Source organism: Homo sapiens, chromosome 14 (assembly GCF_000001405.40).
Source record: "Homo sapiens chromosome 14, GRCh38.p14 Primary Assembly".
NCBI lineage: Eukaryota > Metazoa > Chordata > Mammalia > Primates > Hominidae > Homo > Homo sapiens.
The window spans coordinates 101,774,803-101,794,731 of NC_000014.9; the positions used below are offsets into that span (position 1 = coordinate 101,774,803).

General features: G+C 47.1%; 1 protein-coding gene across 10 annotated transcripts in view, besides 2 other annotated features; it reads left to right on the forward strand.

Annotated features, from left to right (window-relative positions):
- PPP2R5C (protein phosphatase 2 regulatory subunit B'gamma) overlaps nucleotides 1-19,929 on the forward strand; it is a 167,420-nt gene that overhangs the window by 14,230 nt on the left and 133,261 nt on the right. For 6 of the 10 annotated variants that reach the window (XM_005267819.2, XM_005267824.2, XM_005267827.2 and 3 more), the window contains exon 3: nucleotides 11,216-11,381. The exons of the other annotated variants lie outside the window; for them this stretch is intronic. In XM_005267819.2, the coding sequence (XP_005267876.1) occupies nucleotides 11,216-11,381 (166 nt within the window). The remainder of the gene's footprint in view (nucleotides 1-11,215; nucleotides 11,382-19,929) is intronic. 10 annotated transcript variants of the gene reach the window in all.
- Nucleotides 6,834-7,103: a silencer, noted in NCBI's record as "silent region_6103". NCBI's record gives its function as "represses an Ori minimal core promoter by ATAC-STARR-seq in GM12878 lymphoblastoid cells {active_cell/tissue: GM12878}" and the evidence as "EXISTENCE:reporter gene assay evidence [ECO:0000049][PMID:35858748]".
- Nucleotides 15,727-15,796: an enhancer, noted in NCBI's record as "active region_9045". NCBI's record gives its function as "activates an Ori minimal core promoter by ATAC-STARR-seq in GM12878 lymphoblastoid cells {active_cell/tissue: GM12878}" and the evidence as "EXISTENCE:reporter gene assay evidence [ECO:0000049][PMID:35858748]".

Genomic DNA, 19,929 nt, shown 5'->3' on the forward strand with positions numbered 1-19,929 from the left:
AATTGTTGTCCTGGCACGAGAATCAGTAAACCTTTTTCTGTAAAGGGCCAGATAGTAAATATTCAAGGCTTCAGGGGGCGCGTGGTCTCTACTGCAACTACTTAACTCTGCTGTTGCAGCAAGAGAGAAGCCACAGACAACAGGTGGATAAACAGACGTGAGTGTATGCCAGTAAAACTTGATTTACAAAAATAACCAGGAGGCCAGATGTGGTTCATGGGCTGTGGCTTCCCAGCCGCGGCCTACTGGAATCCAAATCGGGTTCAGCACTTGGAGAAGCTGCTAGTATTGGTCCCTGGGCCTGTATCTGAAACCAGTACTAGCCATGGTCTGTGGAAGAGGTATCTTTTTTGTTTGACTCTATTCACCATCTAAGAGATACTGAGAGATCAGTGATTCGGCCCTGCCCAACTGAACAATAAATATCTTATATCTAGTTGTGAATTTTGAGAATTGCAGTGTTTAAATGAAGGGAAAGAGCTGCTTGTTTCATTTGGTAAATCCCTTATATGATAAAACATCTAGGAGAGAGGCTTTGTCACAAATCCAGTTGCCCATTTTGCTGTTTCCATGAAATATTTCAAAGTAGAGAAACTAATAGACTTCCATGTATCTGCTGCACAGATTGCCTTTTACTCCCAATATACTGGGGTGCTGTTGCCTGGCTGCACGGAAGGTTGTGGGGTGTGAGGGCACTTGGACATTCGGGCTTGCTGTGTCTCTGTTAGAAACTAATGGGGCGTTGTCCCTGAGCGTGAGGGACACCTCTGGCATCTTGTTTCCTCTACCTGAGGAAGTGCAGCCATGCTTGTTGGGAAGACTTGGGAGAGGACCATGTACCACTGAGGCAGGTAACACCCTTTGCCTCTGTACCTCCCTGTGGGCCTGGCAGTGGGGCTGGGCCCAGGGCCAGCAGTCCACCTACCCTGGCTAGGAACCTGAACTCCTGCATAATTTCAAGGCCCTTCTGGGCAACACCTTGCCTTGCCATGTGGACTGGCCACCTCATCTTTCCTTGTCTCCAGACACCCCCACCACCTCCTTCCCCCAGCCAGAGACTCCAGAATCCCAGATCCTCACAGCAAGACACATCCTCCCCCAGGGACCCCGTGTCTGTTCAGTGGAGAGGCTCTGGGAAGGGGAGGGAACGACTTCCTCTTTATTCCCGTAGCTTCCATTTGAGTGGCCGACAAGTGTCTCAAATAGCATTTCAGATTGTGCCCCCCCCCCACTCCACCCCCGCCTTCCTCCTAGAAAATGCAGCTGGTGCTCGTGTGCAGCCACTGTTCAGACACGTGGAGGCCACAGTGCTCGCTTGGAACCCTCTGGGACCACCGACTTTCAGTGGCTTCTACTGAAGGGAAGGGCCGACTATTTTGATTTGGGTTTGACAGATAATACTGAGTTTGAAAAATAATTTCCCATCATTAAGCCAGACATCAAGAGGCCAAAGTAAATTCTAGGTCATCTCTCCCCTCACTGAGTGAGTTCCCTGTAACCAGCATTCCAGAAGAGGGCGAAAGGGGAAGAATCAAGTCCTTTTTTTTTAGATGTTGCCCAAACCAGATCGCTAAACAGTATCATACCTTTTTACTGCGATTTCTTATCATTTTAAGATAGATACCCAGTTTTTATTTTAGGAGTAAACACTTAAACTGAGGAAGCACACCTGTTGTTTCTCACTTCCTATTCAGCCAACACTAATGCCTTCTCTGTACTGAGAACAGCTGATCCTCCCAAAGCGTGTGTGTCTCCCTGTCTTCGTGGGGCCCTTGCTGTTCTCACCATAAGCCCAGAAGACTCAAGGATGCTCAGCGGGTCGTGCAGCCCTCTCCACCACCTATTCCAGAAAGTCCTCCTCACCCTAAAAGGAAGCCCCATTCCCACCAGCAGTCACTCCTCACTCCCCTTCCCCCAGCCTCTAGCAGCTACCAGTCTGCTCTCTGTAGATGTGCCGATTCTGAATAGTTCATAGAAATGGAATCATGCAATATTTGTCCTTCTGTGTCTGGCTTCCTTTACTTCGCAGAATGCTTTCAAGGTCCATCCATGTTGTAGCGTGCGTCATACCTCATTCCCTTTTTTTTTTTTTTTTTGAGATGGAGTCTTGCTCTGTCGCCCAGGCTGGAGTGCAATGGCGTGATCTCGGCTCACTGCAACCTCCACCTCCCGGGTTCAAGCAATTCTCCTGCCTCAGCCTCCCGAGTAGCTGGGACTACAGGTGCACACCACCATGCCCAGCTAATTTTTGTATTTTTAGTAGAGACAGGGTTTCACCATGTTGGCCAGGATGGTCTCGAGCTCCTGACCTCGTGATCCGCCCGCCTCGGCCTCCCAAACGCTCGTTCCTTTTTATAGCTAATATTCTATTGTTTGGATATAGCACATTTCATTTCATCAGTTGATGGATATTTGAGTTGTTTCTACCTTTTGGCTATTGTGAATAATGCGCTGTGAACATTGTGTACCGATTTTTGTTTGAACACTTGTTTTCAGTTCTTTTGGGTATATGCCTAGGAGTGAGATTGCTGGGTCATATGGATGGTCATTTTTGTTTGTGTGTTTAAGACAGAGTCTCGCTCTGTTGCCCAGGCTGGAGTATAGTGGCGCCATCTCAGCTCACTGCAACCTCTAACTCCTGGGTTCAAGCGATTCTCCTGCCTCAGCCTCCCAAGTAGCTGGGATTACAGGCAAGCACCACCATGCCCGGCTAATTTTTGTATTCTTAGTAGGGATGGGGTTTCACCATGTTGGCCAGGCTGGTCTCAAACTTCTGACCTCAGGTGATCCACCCATCTCGGCCTCCCAAGGTGCTGGGATTACAAGCTTGAGCCACCATACCTGGCTTTGGATGGTAATTTTATGTTTAACTTGCCGAAGAACCACCAAACTGTTTTCCATATCAGCTGCCCCATTTTACATTCTCACCAGCAATATACAAGGGTTCCAATTGTAGTTCCACGTCCTTTATGACCCTTGTTTTTTGTTGAGACAGGGTCTCATTCTGTCACCTAGACTGGAATGCGATGGTACAATGATGGCTCACTGCAGCCTTGAACTCCTGGGCTCAAGCTGTCCTCTCGCCTCAGCTTCCTGAGTAGCTGGGACTACAGGTGCATGCCACCATACCTGGCTATTTTTTTTTAATGTAGAAAAGGGGTCTCACTATATTGCCCAGACTGGTCTTGAACTTACGGGCTTAAGCAATCCTCCTGCCTCAGCCTCCCAAAGTGCTGGGGTTAGAGGCATGAGCCATGGTGCCTGGCCATGCTAACAAGTTATTTTTCAGTTTGAAAAAGAATAGGTATCCCAGCAGGTGTGAAGTAGTATGTCATTGTAATTTTCATTTACATTTACCTAACATCTAAAGGTGGTGAGCATCTTTTCATGTGCTTGTTTGGCCATTTGTATATCTTTTTTGGTGAAATGCCTGTTCAAGTCCTTTGCCCATTTTTTAATCGGGTTTTCTTTTTGTTATTGAGTTGTTAGAGTTCTTTTCATATTCTGGATACTAGACCCTTATATAATTTGCAAATATGTTCTCCCATTCTGTGGGTTTTTTCACTTTCTTGATAGTATCCTTTGCACAAAAATGTTTAATTTTTATGAAGTCTGGTTTATCTGTTTTCTTTTTAGTTGCTTGCACCCTTGGTGTCATAGCTAAGAAACCATTATCAAATCCAGGGTCATGAAGCTTTACCTTTGTATTCTTCTAAGAGTTGTGTGGTTTCAGCTCTTCTGTTTAGGTTTGTGATTCATGTTGAAATCGTTTTTTTCCTGTGGTGTGAGGGGGGATCCACCTTTATTCTTGTCCATATGGCTCTCCAGTTGTCCCAGCATCATTTGTTAAAGACGCTGTTCTTTCCCTGGTGAATGGGCTTGGCTCTCAATTTTATTCCATCAATCTGTATGTCTGTCCTTATGCCAGTATCATACTACCTTGAGCCAGATGCACTTTTAAAAGATCCAAGGCTGGGTGCGGTGGCTCACCACACCTGTAATCCTAGCACTTTTGGGAGGCCACAGCAGATTGGATTGCTTGAGCTTAGGAGTTCAAGACCTGCCTGGACAACATAGTGAGACCTTGTCTCTACAAAAAATACAAAAATTAGCCAGATGTGGTGGTGAGTGCCTGTAGACTAAGCTACTCAGGAGGCTGAGGGAGGAGAATCATTTGAGCCCAGCAGGTTGAGGTTGCAGTGAGCTGTGGTTGTGCAATTGCACTCCAGCCTGAGTGACAGACAGACCCTGTCTCAAAAAAATTAAAAATAAAAATAAAGTATCTGAAAAGACATACAAAACTAGGTTTTGTCTGGGAGGACAAGTAGTTTGGTATTGCTGGAACATCAAGTGTGCATGGAAGTGGTTGTGTGAAGGCTGGAATTAAGGACGTGAGAGACAGTGACTGTGTGAAGGAGACGCAGCAAGCTCCGGAGCCTGCCTGAGTGTTGGCAGATAACGGGGACATGAGATGTGTCCATGCTCTCAACAAGCTCAGAATCTCTTTGTAGAAGCAGACATGGGATTCCAAGCCTGATGGAAGTGTAAGGGAACCCCCTTAAGAACACTGAGGAGATGGTGGGGCCTGGCTGCGTGTATGAGTGGGGAAAACATTAAAGAGAATGGCATTTGAGCTAGAACTGAAGGCTGAGTAGATCAAAAGCTTTGTGTGGGGGTGAGAGTTTGGGAACGGGAAGAGGGCATTTCATGCTGAAGAAACAGGCATTGAAACAGGGCAGGGTCAGAGAACATTTGAGAATCTGAGAGTGGCCCAGCATTCCTGAAATAAAGGAGAGACTCATCTCTCCCATACATTGAGAGATGAGTCCTGGAAAAATAAGTGTGGGGGAGACAGCGGCTGAGCTCAAACCCCATGCTACGGAGTTTGAACTTTCTCCCGCAGGCAGTGGGGAGCCACTGGCATCTTGTGAGCAGGGGAATGGTCTGATGGACCTTTAGAAAGGTCAGTCCAATAACAGTATGAAAATATGATTGGAGGCAGCTGTGCTCACCACTGTACCACCAACACTGAAAATACGATTGGGAGAAAGATGAGGGAAGGTGTTCTGATTGTCTGGTCTATAGAGGCTGGGGTTAATGCAGGGAGGAATAACGTGTTCATTTGGACTATTTTCACATACATAGTAGTCGAGGGAATCATATAGGGAAGCCCCAGGTCCCCATTGCCCAGCCTTGGCCATCATCCACTGCAACCCATCTTGTCTTATCCAGGCCTCCTCCTCCATATGCATGGCCCTCTCTTCACACTACATTATTTTGAAGCAAATCTCAGTCATCGTATTTTATTTGTAAGTCCCACCTGTGGTATCCTCCAACAAGGACTCCAAGAACCAGAACGTGATTGCCTCACCTAAAAATATTAACTGCAATTCCTTACTCTCAGGAGTAAGCATTAAATCTCCCCTCCCCTCCTCCCTTTTTCATTTGGTTGGTTTGGGTCCTGAATTGAATTGAGTCCTGAGATCCAAATCAGGTACACACATTACACTAGGTTGTGATATGTGCTGGTTCCTCCTCTCCTTTTTCTCCTTGCAATTTAATTGTTAAATCAGGTTGTTCCCATACGTTTGAGAGATATGATAGTCAACCAAGGGTGATTTTGCCCCCCAAGGGACATTTGGCAATGTTTGGAGACGCTCTTAGTTGTCGCCGCTTGGGGGGAGGGGCTGCTTGCATGTAACAGGGCCCACAGCAGAGGCTCACCTGGGCTGAAGTGTGGTGGCTCGACTGCCCGGTGCTGCGGGAGGACACCTCCTGCCATTCCCCCACGTTCCCTGGTTCCCTGCGTCCAGATCGCTTTGCTTTTGGTTAACACACTCCTCTCTCTCTTGTATTTTCCTAAGAACTGGTGGTTAGACCTCAGGGCTTGATCAGGTTCAGGCTGGACTTTCCGGCATTAAAAATACTTCTTAAGTGGCATATCACTTAGTCCTTGGCACATAAGTGGTGGCAGTTTGTTCCGTTTACGATAAAATTGCAGAAAGGGAGGATTTTGAGAGGCACTGGAGCATGGAATTGCTCCGGTGTGAGGTGTAAGGGGGAAGTTGGGGTCCAGCATTTGGCTCAACCCCAGACCCAGAGTCCAGGGACTGAGGCTGGGGCTTGGCTGCAGCACTGACTGGGTGATTTCAGGCGCTCACCCCACAGCCTGAGCCTTGCTTTCCTCTCTGTAAGCTAAGGATGCGCCAGCTCGGCCTGAACCATGGAATGCAGCGTGGGGCAGCCGCTCCCCAGCCTTCCTCCCTAGCCGTCTCCCTCCAGCTACAGGTGCCTTGCGGTGCCGCCACTGGAGGAGTCTTTGCAGGTTTATGGGACATCAGAGCAGGGAGGGAGCCGGGTGTCGGGGCTGCGGCAGGGTCCCCACCGGGCTGTCCACGAACCAGCGAACCAGCGGTGTTGGTGGTGTCTGGTGCCCAGGAGGAGGGCTTGTTTACAGCTGCCGTATTTCCCGGGACCCTGGCTTCTGTCCTCAGGGACCCCTTCAGACCTTCCCCACCCTCCGAAGCCTCAACCCGCCCTGCGCCTCCCGGTGGCACAGCGACCTTGGCGGCTTTGGCCCCTGAGCCGCTAGGCTGCCAAGGCGCGCTGTGCGCGTGGGGCCAGGCTCGACCTCACTCCTGTTGTCGCTGCAGACCCGCGTGGGCTCCCGCCGGGCCCTCCTGCCGCCCCCCAGCCTCCCCGCCCCTGCCCTTGCCAGCCTGCGCCTTCCTGGGCGCCTGACGCACCCCTCTGCCCCAACCACGTTTTCTCAAGAGTGTTGTCTGTCCCGGCCTTCCAAGGAGACCCTTAGCTCCCGCCGGCCGCCTCCGGAGCCTCCGGCATGGGCCCCAGGCCGGGGTCCCGCCTTTGCCCCGGCCTCCGCTGCCTCGCCCCGGAGCCCGGAGGAGGGGAGCCGGCCACCCGGGGAAGAAGCGGAGGACGCCGATCTGGCCTCCTGCGTTGCGCGCTCCAACCCTCTGCTTGGCCGCCCGCGAACCGCGCTCTCCCGTTTCCTTTCCGTCCCGTCTCGGGGGCTTCATCCTCCAGCCGTGGCCGTGGCCGTGGCCAGGTGTACCGGAGCGGCACCCAGGAGCCCGCCCTAGCACCCGCTCCCGCTCCCACCTCGTCTGCGCCCACCCGCTCTGGGCAGCTGCTCCCAAGGGAGCCCCTCGCCCTCTCTCTCTCCTTCCCTCATTCCCTTCATCCTTCTCTCCCTGTGTGCCTCCTTCCCTCCCTCCCTCTCTCCCCCTTCTCTCTTTCTCCCTCTCCCACTCCCTCTCTCCCCACCCTTTCTTCCCCTCCCCCCTCCCCCTCCCCCTTCTTCCCCTCCCCCTCCCCATCCCTCTCTCTCCCCTCTCTCTTTTTCCCCCTCCCCCTCCCTCTCTTTCCTCTTTCTCTCTCCCCCTCCCCCTCCCTCTCTCCTCCCTCTCTCTTTCTCCCCCTTCCCCCTCTCTCCCCCCCTTTCTCCCCATTCCCCTCCCTCTCTCCCCCTTCCCCTCCCTCTCTCCCCCTTCCCCTCCCTCTCCCCCTTCCCCTCCCTCTCTCCCCTTCTCTCTCTCTTTCTCCCCTTCCCTCTCTCTCCCCTCTGGCTCTTTCTCCCCTTCCCTCTCTCTCCCCCCCTTTCTCCCCATTCCCCTCCCTCTCTCCCCCTTCCCCTCCCTCTCTCCCCCTTCCGCTCCCTCTCCCCCTTCCCCTCCCTCTCTTTCCTCTTTCTCTCTCCCCCTCCCCCTCCCTCTCTCCTCCCTCTCTCTTTCTCCCCTTCCCTCTCTCTCCCCCCCTTTCTCCCCATTCCCCTCCCTCTCTCCCCCTTCCCCTCCCTCTCTCCCCCTTCCCCTCCCTCTCCCCCTTCCCCTCCCTCTCTCCCCTTCTCTCTCTCTTTCTCCCCTTCCCTCTCTCTCCCCTCTGTCTCTTTCTCCCCCCCTTTCCACTTTCTCTCTTTCTCCCCCCTTCCCCTCCCTCTCTCTCCCCTCTCTCTTTCTCCCCTTCCCCCTGCCTCTCTTTCCCCTTTCTCTCTTGTTCTCCCCCTTCCCCTCCCTCTCTCCTCCCTCTCTTTTCCTCCTCCCCCCTTCCCCTCCCTCTTTCTCCCCCTCTGCCCTCTCCCCCTTCCCCCTCCCCTCCCTCTCCCTCTCTCTTTCTCCCCCTCCCTCTCTGCCCCCCTCTCTCCCTCTCCCCCCTCCCTTCCCCCTCCCCCTCCCCCTCCCCTCTCTCTTTCTCTTCCTCCCTCTCTCCTCCTCTCTTTGTCCCTCTCCCCCTCTCTCTTTCTCCCCCTCTTTTCTCTCTACCCCCTCTTTTTCCCCCTCCCCCTCTCTCTCTCCTCCTCTCTCTTTCTCCCCCCTTCTCCCCCTCTCCCCCTCCCCCTCCCTCTCTCCCCATTTCTCTTTCTCCCCTCCCCCTCTCTCTCTCCCCCCCCTTTCTCCCCCTCTCTTTCCCCCTCCCTCTCTCCCACTCTCTCTCCTTCTCCCCCTCTCTGAGCCCAGGTTCTTGGTGGCATCTGCTTTGGGCAGCTCTGCAGCTCCTTCCTCAGGGAGATCACCTCACCTTCCCAGGGACAGACAATGTCTCATGCGGAGAGGCCCTGCCCTCCTGAGCTGATGTCCCATCGGGGAGGAAGATGCCCCCTCAGAGTTGGTGGGAGCACCAGGTCACGGTGTTGTGGGGCAGGCAGCTGGTGGCTGGGCTGGGCAGAGCAGGCAGACTGGCTCCTCTCTCTGGTCTTGGCCCTGACGAGAGAATGGAGTGGGGCATGGTGGCCAAAAGGCCAAGGGCCCCTTTGGAACTGTGCCCGAGGGCTGACTTATTTTCTCAGGGGCAGAAGCCTATCCTCAGTGTGTCCCCATGGCAGTCAAGACCCATGGACTTGCTTCCCAGCCCCCTAGGCTGGGCCACCTTCCATGCAGCCGACCTTCCAGCGGGGGTCAGAAGCCACGGGGGAGCCCTGTCATTGGCCTCTACCCAAGGTCCTCGCTGTGAGTGCTGGGCTGGCACTATAGTGAAATAAAAAGGAGATGGAGAACATTATCTACTGGAACACGCACGTATGTGACTGAACATCTAAAGCCAGGACAGCTCCTAGGAGCAGCTCCTCCAGACTGTGGAATCAATGCCAGGGGCACCCAGAGAAGGCGGAGCAGAAACCTGTCTAACTGGGGGATTCTGTGGAGGAGCTGGTTATGGAGGGGCTTTTAGGGAAGAAAGACCCAGGCTTTCATGGCAAAAGATTGACAGATGTCAAGCTCAGAGCCCAAGAAAGTACCTTTTGAGGAAAAAGCCACAGACTGAGGGAGAGAAGGGAACCGAGACCCCTGCCTCCCAGGTCAGAGGCTGCCTGCTGTTCCGGGCAGTCTGTCACATGAGACAGCTCTTTCCAGGCATTCCTAAGCACCTTAGTAGAAAGTAAAGCAGCTCTTATTGCTTATGAAAATTTCATTCAAGGATGAGAACAAATTAATGTCTGGGGCTGGAGTTGGTGTGTCTGCTCTCCTTGGCCCTAAACTAGGTAGGTTTGTGTCTCCAGGATGGAGTCTATATTAGTTCATTTTCACACAGCTATAAAAAACTACCTGAGATTGGGTAATTTATAAACAAAAGATGTGTAATTGACTCACAGTTTCACCTAGCTGGGGAGGCCTCAGGAAACTTACCATCATGGCAGAAGGTGAAGGGGAAGCAAGGCACTTCTTACACGGCAGCAGGAGAGAGAGAGAAAGTGGGGGGGGGGAACTGCCAAACACTTGTAAGTCATCAGATCTCCTGAGAACTCACTCACTATCACAAGAACAGCAGGGGGGAAACTGCCCCCACAATCCAGTCACCTCCCACCAGGTCCCTCCCTTGACTCGTGGGGATTACAATTTGAGATGAGATTTGGGTGGGGACACAGAAGCAAACTGTCTCAGAGAGTGACAGCCTTTTTAAAGAGCACATATGCAGACACAGACTCCCTTTCTTTGGGCAGAAAGAAGGGTGGGCAACGAGCACATTATGTAAATCATCTTGACGGTGGACACAGCAGCTGTTGGCTGTCACTGCTGGATAGTGGTCGCAGCAAACAGCTGTGGGCCAGGTCACTGCTTGCTACCTAGAGAGCCCTTCAGCTGGGGGGCCCAGAGCACAGCTGAACTCCACGGGCCCCCTTGGTGAGCTCCTTTGGCCTCTGTGGATGACAGGGGACCCCTGGTTCCTCTGCTTCGTGCATCTTCAGACTCTTCTCCACCTCTGCTGAGTAGTTCAGTTGGCAGCGTTGCAGGTTGGCTGCAGGGGTGTTGACCAGCCCTGGAGCTATGGTGCAGCCTGGGAATGAGCACGCACACCAGGAGCCTAGGACAATGGCAGCAGAACAGCTCCAGCGGAGCGTTTCCTGGGGCTCAAGGGGAGGCACTCAGATGGCCTGCTTTGGGTGTTCAAGACTGAGTGGTGAGCCAGCAGGGAACACCTAGCATTTTGTGAGATACTCAGCCGTATTCATCTCCTTGCACCACTGTACAAGTTACACATGCAGTGGCTCCAAAGAGCATAAACTTACTATGTTACCGTTCTGGCATGTAGGTCTGAAATGAGGCCAAAATGAAGGTGTCAGCAGGGTCGTGATGGCTCTGGAGGTTCTAGAGGAGAATCTATTTCCAGCCTTTCCCACCTTCTAGAGGCCACCTGCCTGCCTTGGTTCATGGCCACTTCCCTGCATCTTCCAACCCAGCCATGTAGCATCTTCACATCTCTCTCTGACCCCTGCTTTCATTGTCCCATTGCCTTCTCTTGTCTCCCTCCTGCCTCCCTCTTGTAATGACCTGTGTGATTCCCTTGGACCCACCTGGATGATCCAGAATCATCGTCCCATCTCAAGATTCTTAACTGAATCCCATCTGCAGAGTCCCTGTCGCCAAGCAAGGTCCCATATTCACCAGTTCCAGGAATTAGGATGTGGACATCTTTAGGCGTCATTATTTAGTCTACCACATCAACCTATGTGGTAAATATTTAGCAATCAAAAGTTTGAAGGAAGATACGAGAAATTAGGCATCTTTGAATCTTTCAGTCTAATATTGCTGAAGGTGGGACATAAGCCCCATACTCCAGCCACTCTAAGGAATGATGTCTTCCATGGAGTGAAGGGGAATGCCCCAGAGTAAGACTCATGTATATGTTTTTCTATATTTTAATAGTGCTACAAAATACAACCATTGTACATATTCATTTGTTTTTGTTTTTGTTTTGGAAGCAAATTTCCGTCAGGAAAAACAGCCTTGTTGCTGTCCCGTCTACAGTATCTGCTAAAATAAAAGTACCAGTCTCTCAGCCCATAGTGAAGAAAGACAAACGGCAAAATTCTTCAAGGTTTAGCGCAAGCAATAATAGAGAACTTCAAAAACTACCATCCTTAAAAGGTAATTTTTATTTGTCTTTTAAAAGTTAAATTGTGGCTGTTGGAGTGAAGGAGCAATGTTTTGATAGTGTGCTAATTTATTCCTTTGCTGTGTTTGTATTTTGTGGGGTCATCTTTTCTGTATTGAGGGGTTTTTTTTTTTTTAGGTTGAATGTCATTAACTTACTTACTCAATTAACATTTTAAATTCCAGAGCTATTCAAGATAAAAGTTTAACAACACAGTATAGGCATAATACACTAAGGAAACAGGAAAAGCTGAACATCTTTTTATTTATGGTATTAAGCTAGCCAGTTTTTCTTTTAAATTAATTTTCATTTGTTTGTCTTAGAACTGTAGCAATTCCGAAAGGAATTACTCCAAGTACAGTAATTGTAAAAATTATAGTAGAAGTTCCCTATGTTTCTAAAGTAAGGACTGTAGCTATAGTACATTATGGACTTGCTTTGTTATGAGTCATTTGAGGATTACCTCTACTCAAGCATTTCTTATATGAAATTAGGAAAAAGTGCTCTTTACTTTGAATTTCCCCCCAAATGACACAGCCATCTCTTTCCATCTCAGGTTGTTTAATCCCTAAAAGTCTTCCTTTAGATTTTGAGATTGAGGTGCTTAAAACCTTATCAAGGAAAACAGAGTAAGGACCGTAAAGTCAAATGTGAACCTCTTAAAACCTTTATAATTACTAAAATATAAGACAGATATACTAAATAAAATAACATTTTTCATACCTTAAATTTATAATAATGGATCTTTTACAATTAATTTCCACTGAATATTAATTCAGCAACCAGTCCAGTGGCTCGCGCTTATAATCTCATCACTTTAGGAGGCTGAGGCAGAAGGATCACTTGAGCCCAGGAGTTCGAGACCAGCCTAGGCAACATAGGGAGACTCCGTCTCTACAAAAAAATAAAATTTGCTGGGCATGGTGGCACACACCTGTGGTCCCGGCTACTCAGGAGGCTGAAGTGGGAGGATTGCTTGAGCCTGGGAGGCCAAGGCTACAGTGAACCATGATCGTGCCACTGCACTTCAGCGTGGATGACAGACTGAGATCTTGTTCTCAGGAAAAAGAAAAGTAAATATGAACTCAGTGAGAGCAGGCAGTCTGTCATGTTTATAGCTGTATTCCCAGGCTTTCCACACTGTAAAGCAGATAGCAGATTTGCCAGGTGGAAGGAGGAAGGGAGGAAGGGAGGCTGGGTGGATGGTGGATTTATGGGTGGGTGGATGGGTGGGTGGATTTACGGGTGGATGAATTTTCTTGCCCCCTACTTGCTAGAAATCCAGGTTCTCGGCCGGGCGCAGTGGCTCATGCCTGTAATCCCAGCACTTTGGGAGGCCAAGGCGGGCGGATCACGAGGTCAGGAGATCAAGACCATCCTGGCTAACATGGTGAAACCCCGTCTCTACTAAAAATACAAAAACAAAATTAGCCAGGCGTGGTGGCGGGCGCCTGTAGTCCCAGCTACTTGGGAGGCTGAGGCGGGAGAATGGCGTGAACCCGGGAGGCAGAGCTTGCAGTGAGCTGAGATCGTGCCACTGCACTCCAGCCTGGGCGACAGAGCGAGACTCCATCTCAAAAAAAAAAAAAAAAAAAAATCCAGGTTCTCGCTTGCATTTTCTAGAGCTTGTATTTGGCTTATATTTGGTTTACCTTTGTGGTAGATAATATGCATGCTAAGTCATTTTTTATTATTAGTCTTCCTCTTCCCAAATAGGATATACCTTTCTCATGCTATTCATTCATTCAGCAAATATGTGTTGAGCGCCTGTGAAAGCTATTCTAGGTACTAGGGGTACAGAATTACACAAAACCAAGCCCCTATTCTCCTGGAGTGAGCAACCCATTGGTGAGACAGCAAGGAAAGGGATAGGTATCAACTCCTCCTTCCAGTACCCTCCGGAGGCCCAGAGTCAGAGGGAGGGAAAAGGCTTTGTATAACCACTGTTGGGCCTTCATGTCCCAAGCCCTGCCCCTAATGCCCATCACAGCTGGGGCTTGGATCTGCCATGGTACAGAAGGTTGGCCGTGTGCCCCATTTTTCCATGCATGCCCCGCCTCAGCCAGTGCATGCTGGGTGTGTACTGCTGCTGAATTTGGTCAAATGCCATATGATTTTTCTCCTTAAGATGTTAAGATTATAATTGCTGTGTTGATAGATTTTTCTGGTTTTGAACCATCTTTGCATTTGTCAGTTTTGTCGCCGTATATTATTCCATGCGCGGGGCAGAGCCCATGCAAGTACCGGTGTGTGCCGGCCTCTAGCATACTTCCTTTACCTCTTCTGAGGAGTCGCTGCACAAGCCTCTTTCTACATCTGTTCTACATCTGTTTTCTATTCTCAACCTCCGTTTCCTTCGTTTTTCATTATACCTAGTAAGAATGGCATGCAATATACTTCCACTGACGCTTACATTTTCACTTTTCCCCAAAATGGTAAATTCTCCATAGTAAATCCACATATCCAGGAGAATTTCACATGTATCAAGCCAGTTCCCCTCACTGGTCTTGTTTGATAATTCTCTCTTGGCTGTTCTAAAACATTAATGCCTCTGTATATATACTAAAATAATTTCACCTAGTTCAGAAAAATAATAATTGATTGGAATTAAAGTTATATATTAATTTGGTGAAAATTGATACCTTTTTTCCATCTAGGAAGATGGTATATATCCCCCATTTTTCTGGGTCTTGTTTTCTGACTTATAAAATTTTATGGTTTTCTTGTAAATCTCTAACTTTCCAGTAAATTTATTTCTAAATACTCTATAGCTTTTGTCACACTTGTGACTGGGTTATATTTTTTCCCATTTCCACTTCTAATTGGTTTTTGTTAATCTCATGCAGAGCTATTGGTTTTTAAATATTTTCTTTTGCCGTCACCTTACCACATTTTCGTATTAGTCTTAATTAATTTTTCCACTACAGTCTGCATATATAGTCCTGTTGTTTGCAATAGATTCTTTTATCTCTCTTCCACTATTTATGCCAACATAGACTAGTTATTTTAATTTTATTCTGCCACTAAGAAGGACCAATAAAACCTGGAACAGAGGTGATAGCAGGCATTCCTGTTTTCTCCCATTTCAGTAAATGGCTTCAGCGTTTCCTAAGTTGATGGGAAAGTGGCTCTTGGTTTCTGGTAAGCAGCCTTTGCAAGGCCGCTGGTGCTCCGGAGTCCAAGCTCACAGGACTCTTCCCGGACCCATGCAGGCTGGTTGGCGCCATGCCAGTGCATGCTGGGTGGGTACTGCTGCTGAATTTGGTCAAATGCCATATGATTTTCCTCTTTAAGATGTTACTATTATAATTGCTGTGTTGACAGATTTTTCTGGTTTTGAAATATCTTTGCATTTTGTCAGTTTTGTCACAGTGTATTTTCATAGTGTTTGGAACTAATTTTCTTTAGAATATTTGCTTCCGTATTTACTACATGGAGCTGGTCTGTAGTTTTGTTCTTTTTCATAAACCTGTATTTTGTCCTGTCTAAGATTTGTTGTCACCAGCACTTTGTGAAGGTTCCTGGGGTGGCCTGGAGCAGCTTTTCCCGCAGCTCCCTCACACTGCCACCTTATGACAGGGATAATGAGATGGACCCGGATTTCAGAAACAATAAAATGTGGAATGTGTCCATGAAATAGGGTTGAAAGTTTGACTTGGAACTCAGTGGGCCTGTTGCTTTTCTCTATGAAACGTCTGTAGCTTCTTAGCACAGTGCGTCCATTTAGAAAGGGGGGTCTGTTAACTAGTACATGGTCATTGTTTAATGCACCTTTTAATCTCTTCCTTATCAGTGGCGGTTATGTCTCCTTATAAGTTCATTTATTCTTTTGACTGTTCTGTTTGTGTTCAGTATTATTCATCTGTACTTTTATCTTTAATTATCCTATGTCTTTTATTTTAACCTTTTCTTCATTTATTAAGTTGAATAGAGAGTTGACTTATTTTTAGTTTGCTTTTTAATAATAAAAGAATTTAAAGCCACGTATTCATTCTGAGTGTAACCTTCAGCCCTATCCCTAGATTTTATTTTTTCCTAACTTTTCAAGTCATAGGTTTTTCTTTTTTAGAGTTGAGGCATAATTTACATATCCTAAAACTCACCCATTGTAACTGGAAAATTTAGTTATTTTAGCAAATACATAGAGTTGTGCAACCGTCACCACAATTCTGTTTTAGAATGTTTCCATCTGCCTCCAAAAGTTACCTCGTGCCATTCACCATTAAGTTCCCCTCCGGGCCCCAGCTGCAGGCACCCACTGATCTGCTTTCTGTCTCTAGACTTACTTTCTTCCGGACACTTCATATAAGCGAAGTCATACCATAGGTAGTCTTTTACACCTGCTGTAAGGTTTTTGAGGTTCATCTGTGTTGTTTCTTTTTAATGCCGCATCATATTCAGTCAGATGGATACACCACATTTTGTTTATCCGTTCACCAGTTAATGGACATTTGGGCTGTTTCTTAGCTGGTATGAGTAACAGTGCTGCTGTGAACATTTGCATAGAAGTCTGTGCGAGCAGATATTTCATTTCTCTTGAGTAGATACCTAGGAGTGGAATTCCTGGCTTGTGTGGTAAATTTATGTTTAGCTTGTTAAGAAACTGTTGGCTGGGCACCGTGGCTCACGCCTGTAATCCCAGCACTTCGGGAGGCCGAGGCGGGCGGATCATGAGGTCAGGAGATCAAGGCCATCCTGGCTAACACGGTGAAACTCCATCTTTACTAAAAATACAAAAAATCAGCTGAGCATGGTGGCACTCGCTTGTAGCCCCAGCTACTCGGGAGGCTGAGGCAGGAGAATTGCTTGAACCTGGGAAGTGGAGGTTGCAGTGAGCCGAGATCACACCACTGCACTCCAGCCTGGGCAACAGAGCAAGACTCCGTCTCAAAAAAAGAAAAAAGAAAAGAAAAGAAAAAGAAACTGCCAAACTGTTTTCCAAAGTGGTTGTACTGTTTTACATTTCCACCAACAATGTATGAGGGCTCTGATGTGGCCACATTCTTGCCAATATCTATTATTGTCTTTTCGATTATAGCTTAATTCTTGTGGGTGTGTAATGGTGTCTCACTGTGGTTTCCATTGGCCTTTCCCCAATGACTGGAAATTTTAAGCATCTTTTCATATGCCTGTTAGCCATTTGTCTCTCTTCTTTGATGAGATGTCTTTTTTTAAGTTGGTTGTCTTCTTCTTGTTGAATTGTAACAGTATGTTTTCCCAGATATGAGTCCTTTATTTTAACAGAAAATAAAATACAGTAAAAATAAATTATTACAGAAGTGAAGTACAAAATACACTGTGTATAAAATAGTGTTTTTATTATTATAGTCAGTAGACATAAGATTACCCTGTTAAGTTGATACGAAAGTTTTGAAACGCTTATTCTCAATTTTTGTTATTCGTTGTAAATCTTCAGATTTGTCTATATGTGTCAAACCCTTCTTTTGAGCTTTTAATTTCAGGGTTTTTTTTTTCATTTATGAAAGTTCTGTTTGGTTCTTTTTTCAGTCTGCAGTGCCATTTTAAAATATTTTCCTATTCTCTTGAACATACCATCAAAACTTGTATGGTATACAAGTTTAGTATAGTATACTAAATAAGTATAGTAAACGCAGCTGTTTTATAGCCTGCGTCAGGTCACACTAGTATCTGAGGTGTTTGACACATTTTGTTCATGATGTCTTATTTCCTTGTGTACCTGATTTTTTTTATTGTATATTGGTCATTGTATTCAGATATGTGAAATAAATTGAAACCTAGAATCAAAGTGTCTTCTTCAATAGGGATTTGTTTTTGCTCTGCCAGACACCTGGAGGCACTGCCAATCTGGGAGTGCCTTAAACCACAACACTGGTTTGTTAAATCAACCGACCCAGTTGTTCTGCAATATATCCCACTTACCCCACTGCGGTTCCTGTAAATGGAAACCTTTTTTGGCTGAAATACATCAGAGGCAACGCTTTATAACTTAGGAGATAGTGACATTATTGTGAGAGATGCATAGCCTCTGGTTGCCTATCATCAGAAGTGATGCTAAATTTTCAGTTTTACTAGTGAATTCAGTTGATGACAGATTGATATCTCTATTGAACAATTACATATTTCCCTTTACAATTCAAAAAGTACTAGTAATAGTCTGCAGTGTATATTTTGGCATCCTACCAATGTGTATTCCCTGTCAACCATGTGCTAATGTCTTGAACAACAGTTGATAATCCTTGCCTGAGTCAGTAGTTTCAGTTTCACTAGCGAATTCAACATTTACTCTAACGTTCTTCTGAAAGCAGTGATTTTTCTTACCAACCAGAGATACTTGGTTATCTTGAAATGGAGCTCCTACTGAAAAAGAAGGATAAGCTTAATTCTTTGTCTTTTATTACCAGTTCCCTCTAATGGTGACAGCTGAAGCTTTTTTCTAGCTTTCTCTTTGTTTTAATATCATTGTGGACTAATATATTGTTGATTTCAGTGTGTTTTCATGTACCAAAAGCATTAGTCTTTCTGGTGTTCAGATGGCATAATTGCAATCATTAAGTGCCCTTTAGGGTAGCTCGTGTGTTTTTTTGTTTGTTTTTGTTTTTTTACATAGCCTCATTTATTTTTGATTCCTTGATTTCTGACACAGTGAGACATCCCTTGGGCTCATTTAATACCTTCTCTTCCCCAGACTTCAAATCAGCCATTTTTCTTTTCTTTTTTTTTTTTTTGAGACAGTCTCATGGTCTCATCCATGCTGGAGTGCAGTGGTGCAATCTTGGCTCCCTGCAGCCTCCGCCTCCCACATTCAAATGATTCTCCTGCCTCAGCCTCCCAAGTAGCTAGGATTACAGGCGTGTGCCACCATGCCCAGCTAATTTTTATATTTTTTGTAAATATGGGGTTTCACTATGTTGGCCAGGCTGGTCTCAAACTCCTGACCTCAAGTGATCCACCCACCTCGGCCTCCCAAAGTGCTGAGATTACAGGCATGAGCCACCACACCTGGCCAAATCAGCTATTTTTCAAAGAGCCCTGGTTCCTTTCAGTAGTAAATATATTAGCAACCAAAATCTGGGTCAGAGGGATGTTTATTGCTACTGGTCTGACATTACTTTTAAATGCTTTCAATGGAGGGAGCGAGGATATAAATTTTCTGAATCGTACATTCATATTGATATTTTAAATTTAATTTTAACATTATAGTGTTTTTGAAGCAGGATATTTCCCTGACCACTTCACGGGCAGGAACTGGACTGCGTGGGTGTGGGAACTAGCTGGCCCCTTCAGCGCCAGCAAGGGCGATCTCCACTTACTCGCTGCTCCACCCCTCGTGGGAGGGGAAGTGCAGGTGAGCTGGTGCAGGAGCACTTTTGGGCACCAGCAGGAGCAAACCCCATACCAGCCCCATGGCAGCGTCTTCAGGGGTCCCTGTGATCCCTGAAGCCCCAGAGAAAGTGTTGCAGTACTCTTTTAGCTCTGCCATCCATGGATGACTTAAGTGTTAACAGCTCAGTGGAGGGTCAGTGGGACAACCTTTTACACCCATACTCATGGCACCCAAGTTGTTGTCCAGCATCCAGGAGGAATGAGGTTGCATGAAGGAATTGAAGATGGTAAATGCAGGGGATTTTATTGCCAATGAAAGTGGCTCTCAGTGGGAAGGGAAGCTAAAAAGGAGACAGAGTGGGAAGGTAATCTTCCCCTGAAGTCTGGCTGTCTCCAGCCAGATTCTTCTCTGAAGTTACGCCATCAAGTTGTCCCTCTGAAGTCAAGCCACTTCTTTCCAACATCCAACTCTAGTCTCCTATGTCCAGTTGCTTCTCTTCTCTCTACCAGCTGAGCCTGGGGTTTTTATGGGCACAGGATGGAGGCACGGGGCAAGCCATGGGTGGTTTTGGAAAAGGCAACATTCGAGTGGGGAAACAGGAATGCATGTTCTCACTTTGGACCAAGGTTCCAGGCTTTTCGGCTTGAGGCTAGGGCCCTCACAAGGGACGTGCCCTCTTCTGCCCAGAACTTCCCTGCTTCCTGTTCCTATCACTTTCACTTATTTCTTGGCTTTCATAGTTTTATCTCTGTCTTACACTGAAAATGTTGATTTCTAGCATCACTAATGTAATTATGGGTATATTCTCTTAAACAGTTCCCAAAAACAATATTGATATTACTGCAAACAGTTGGAACTTTGAATTGACCCATAGTCATTGCAGAAAGAAACAGCTGTTGACTTTATTTATTTATTTATTTTAGAGACAGTTCCATGCGATGTTGCCCAAGCTGGTCTTGAACTCCTGGGCTTAAATGATTCTCCTGCCTCAGCCTCCCAAGTAGCTGGGATTACAGGCACGCACCACCATGCCTGGCTACTGTTGGCATTTTTATTGGGATCCTGTTACATTTTGCAAATATCTGAGGGAGGGCTGGCATCTTGTGATGTGTGCCTCCTCTAAGAGTATGCTATGACTATTTTCCAAGGCCACTTTCATGTCCTTTAAGGCTGTTTTTAAGTTTCCCTTGTAGGTTTTGCATGTCTCTTACTAAGCTAATGCCTAGATAATCATT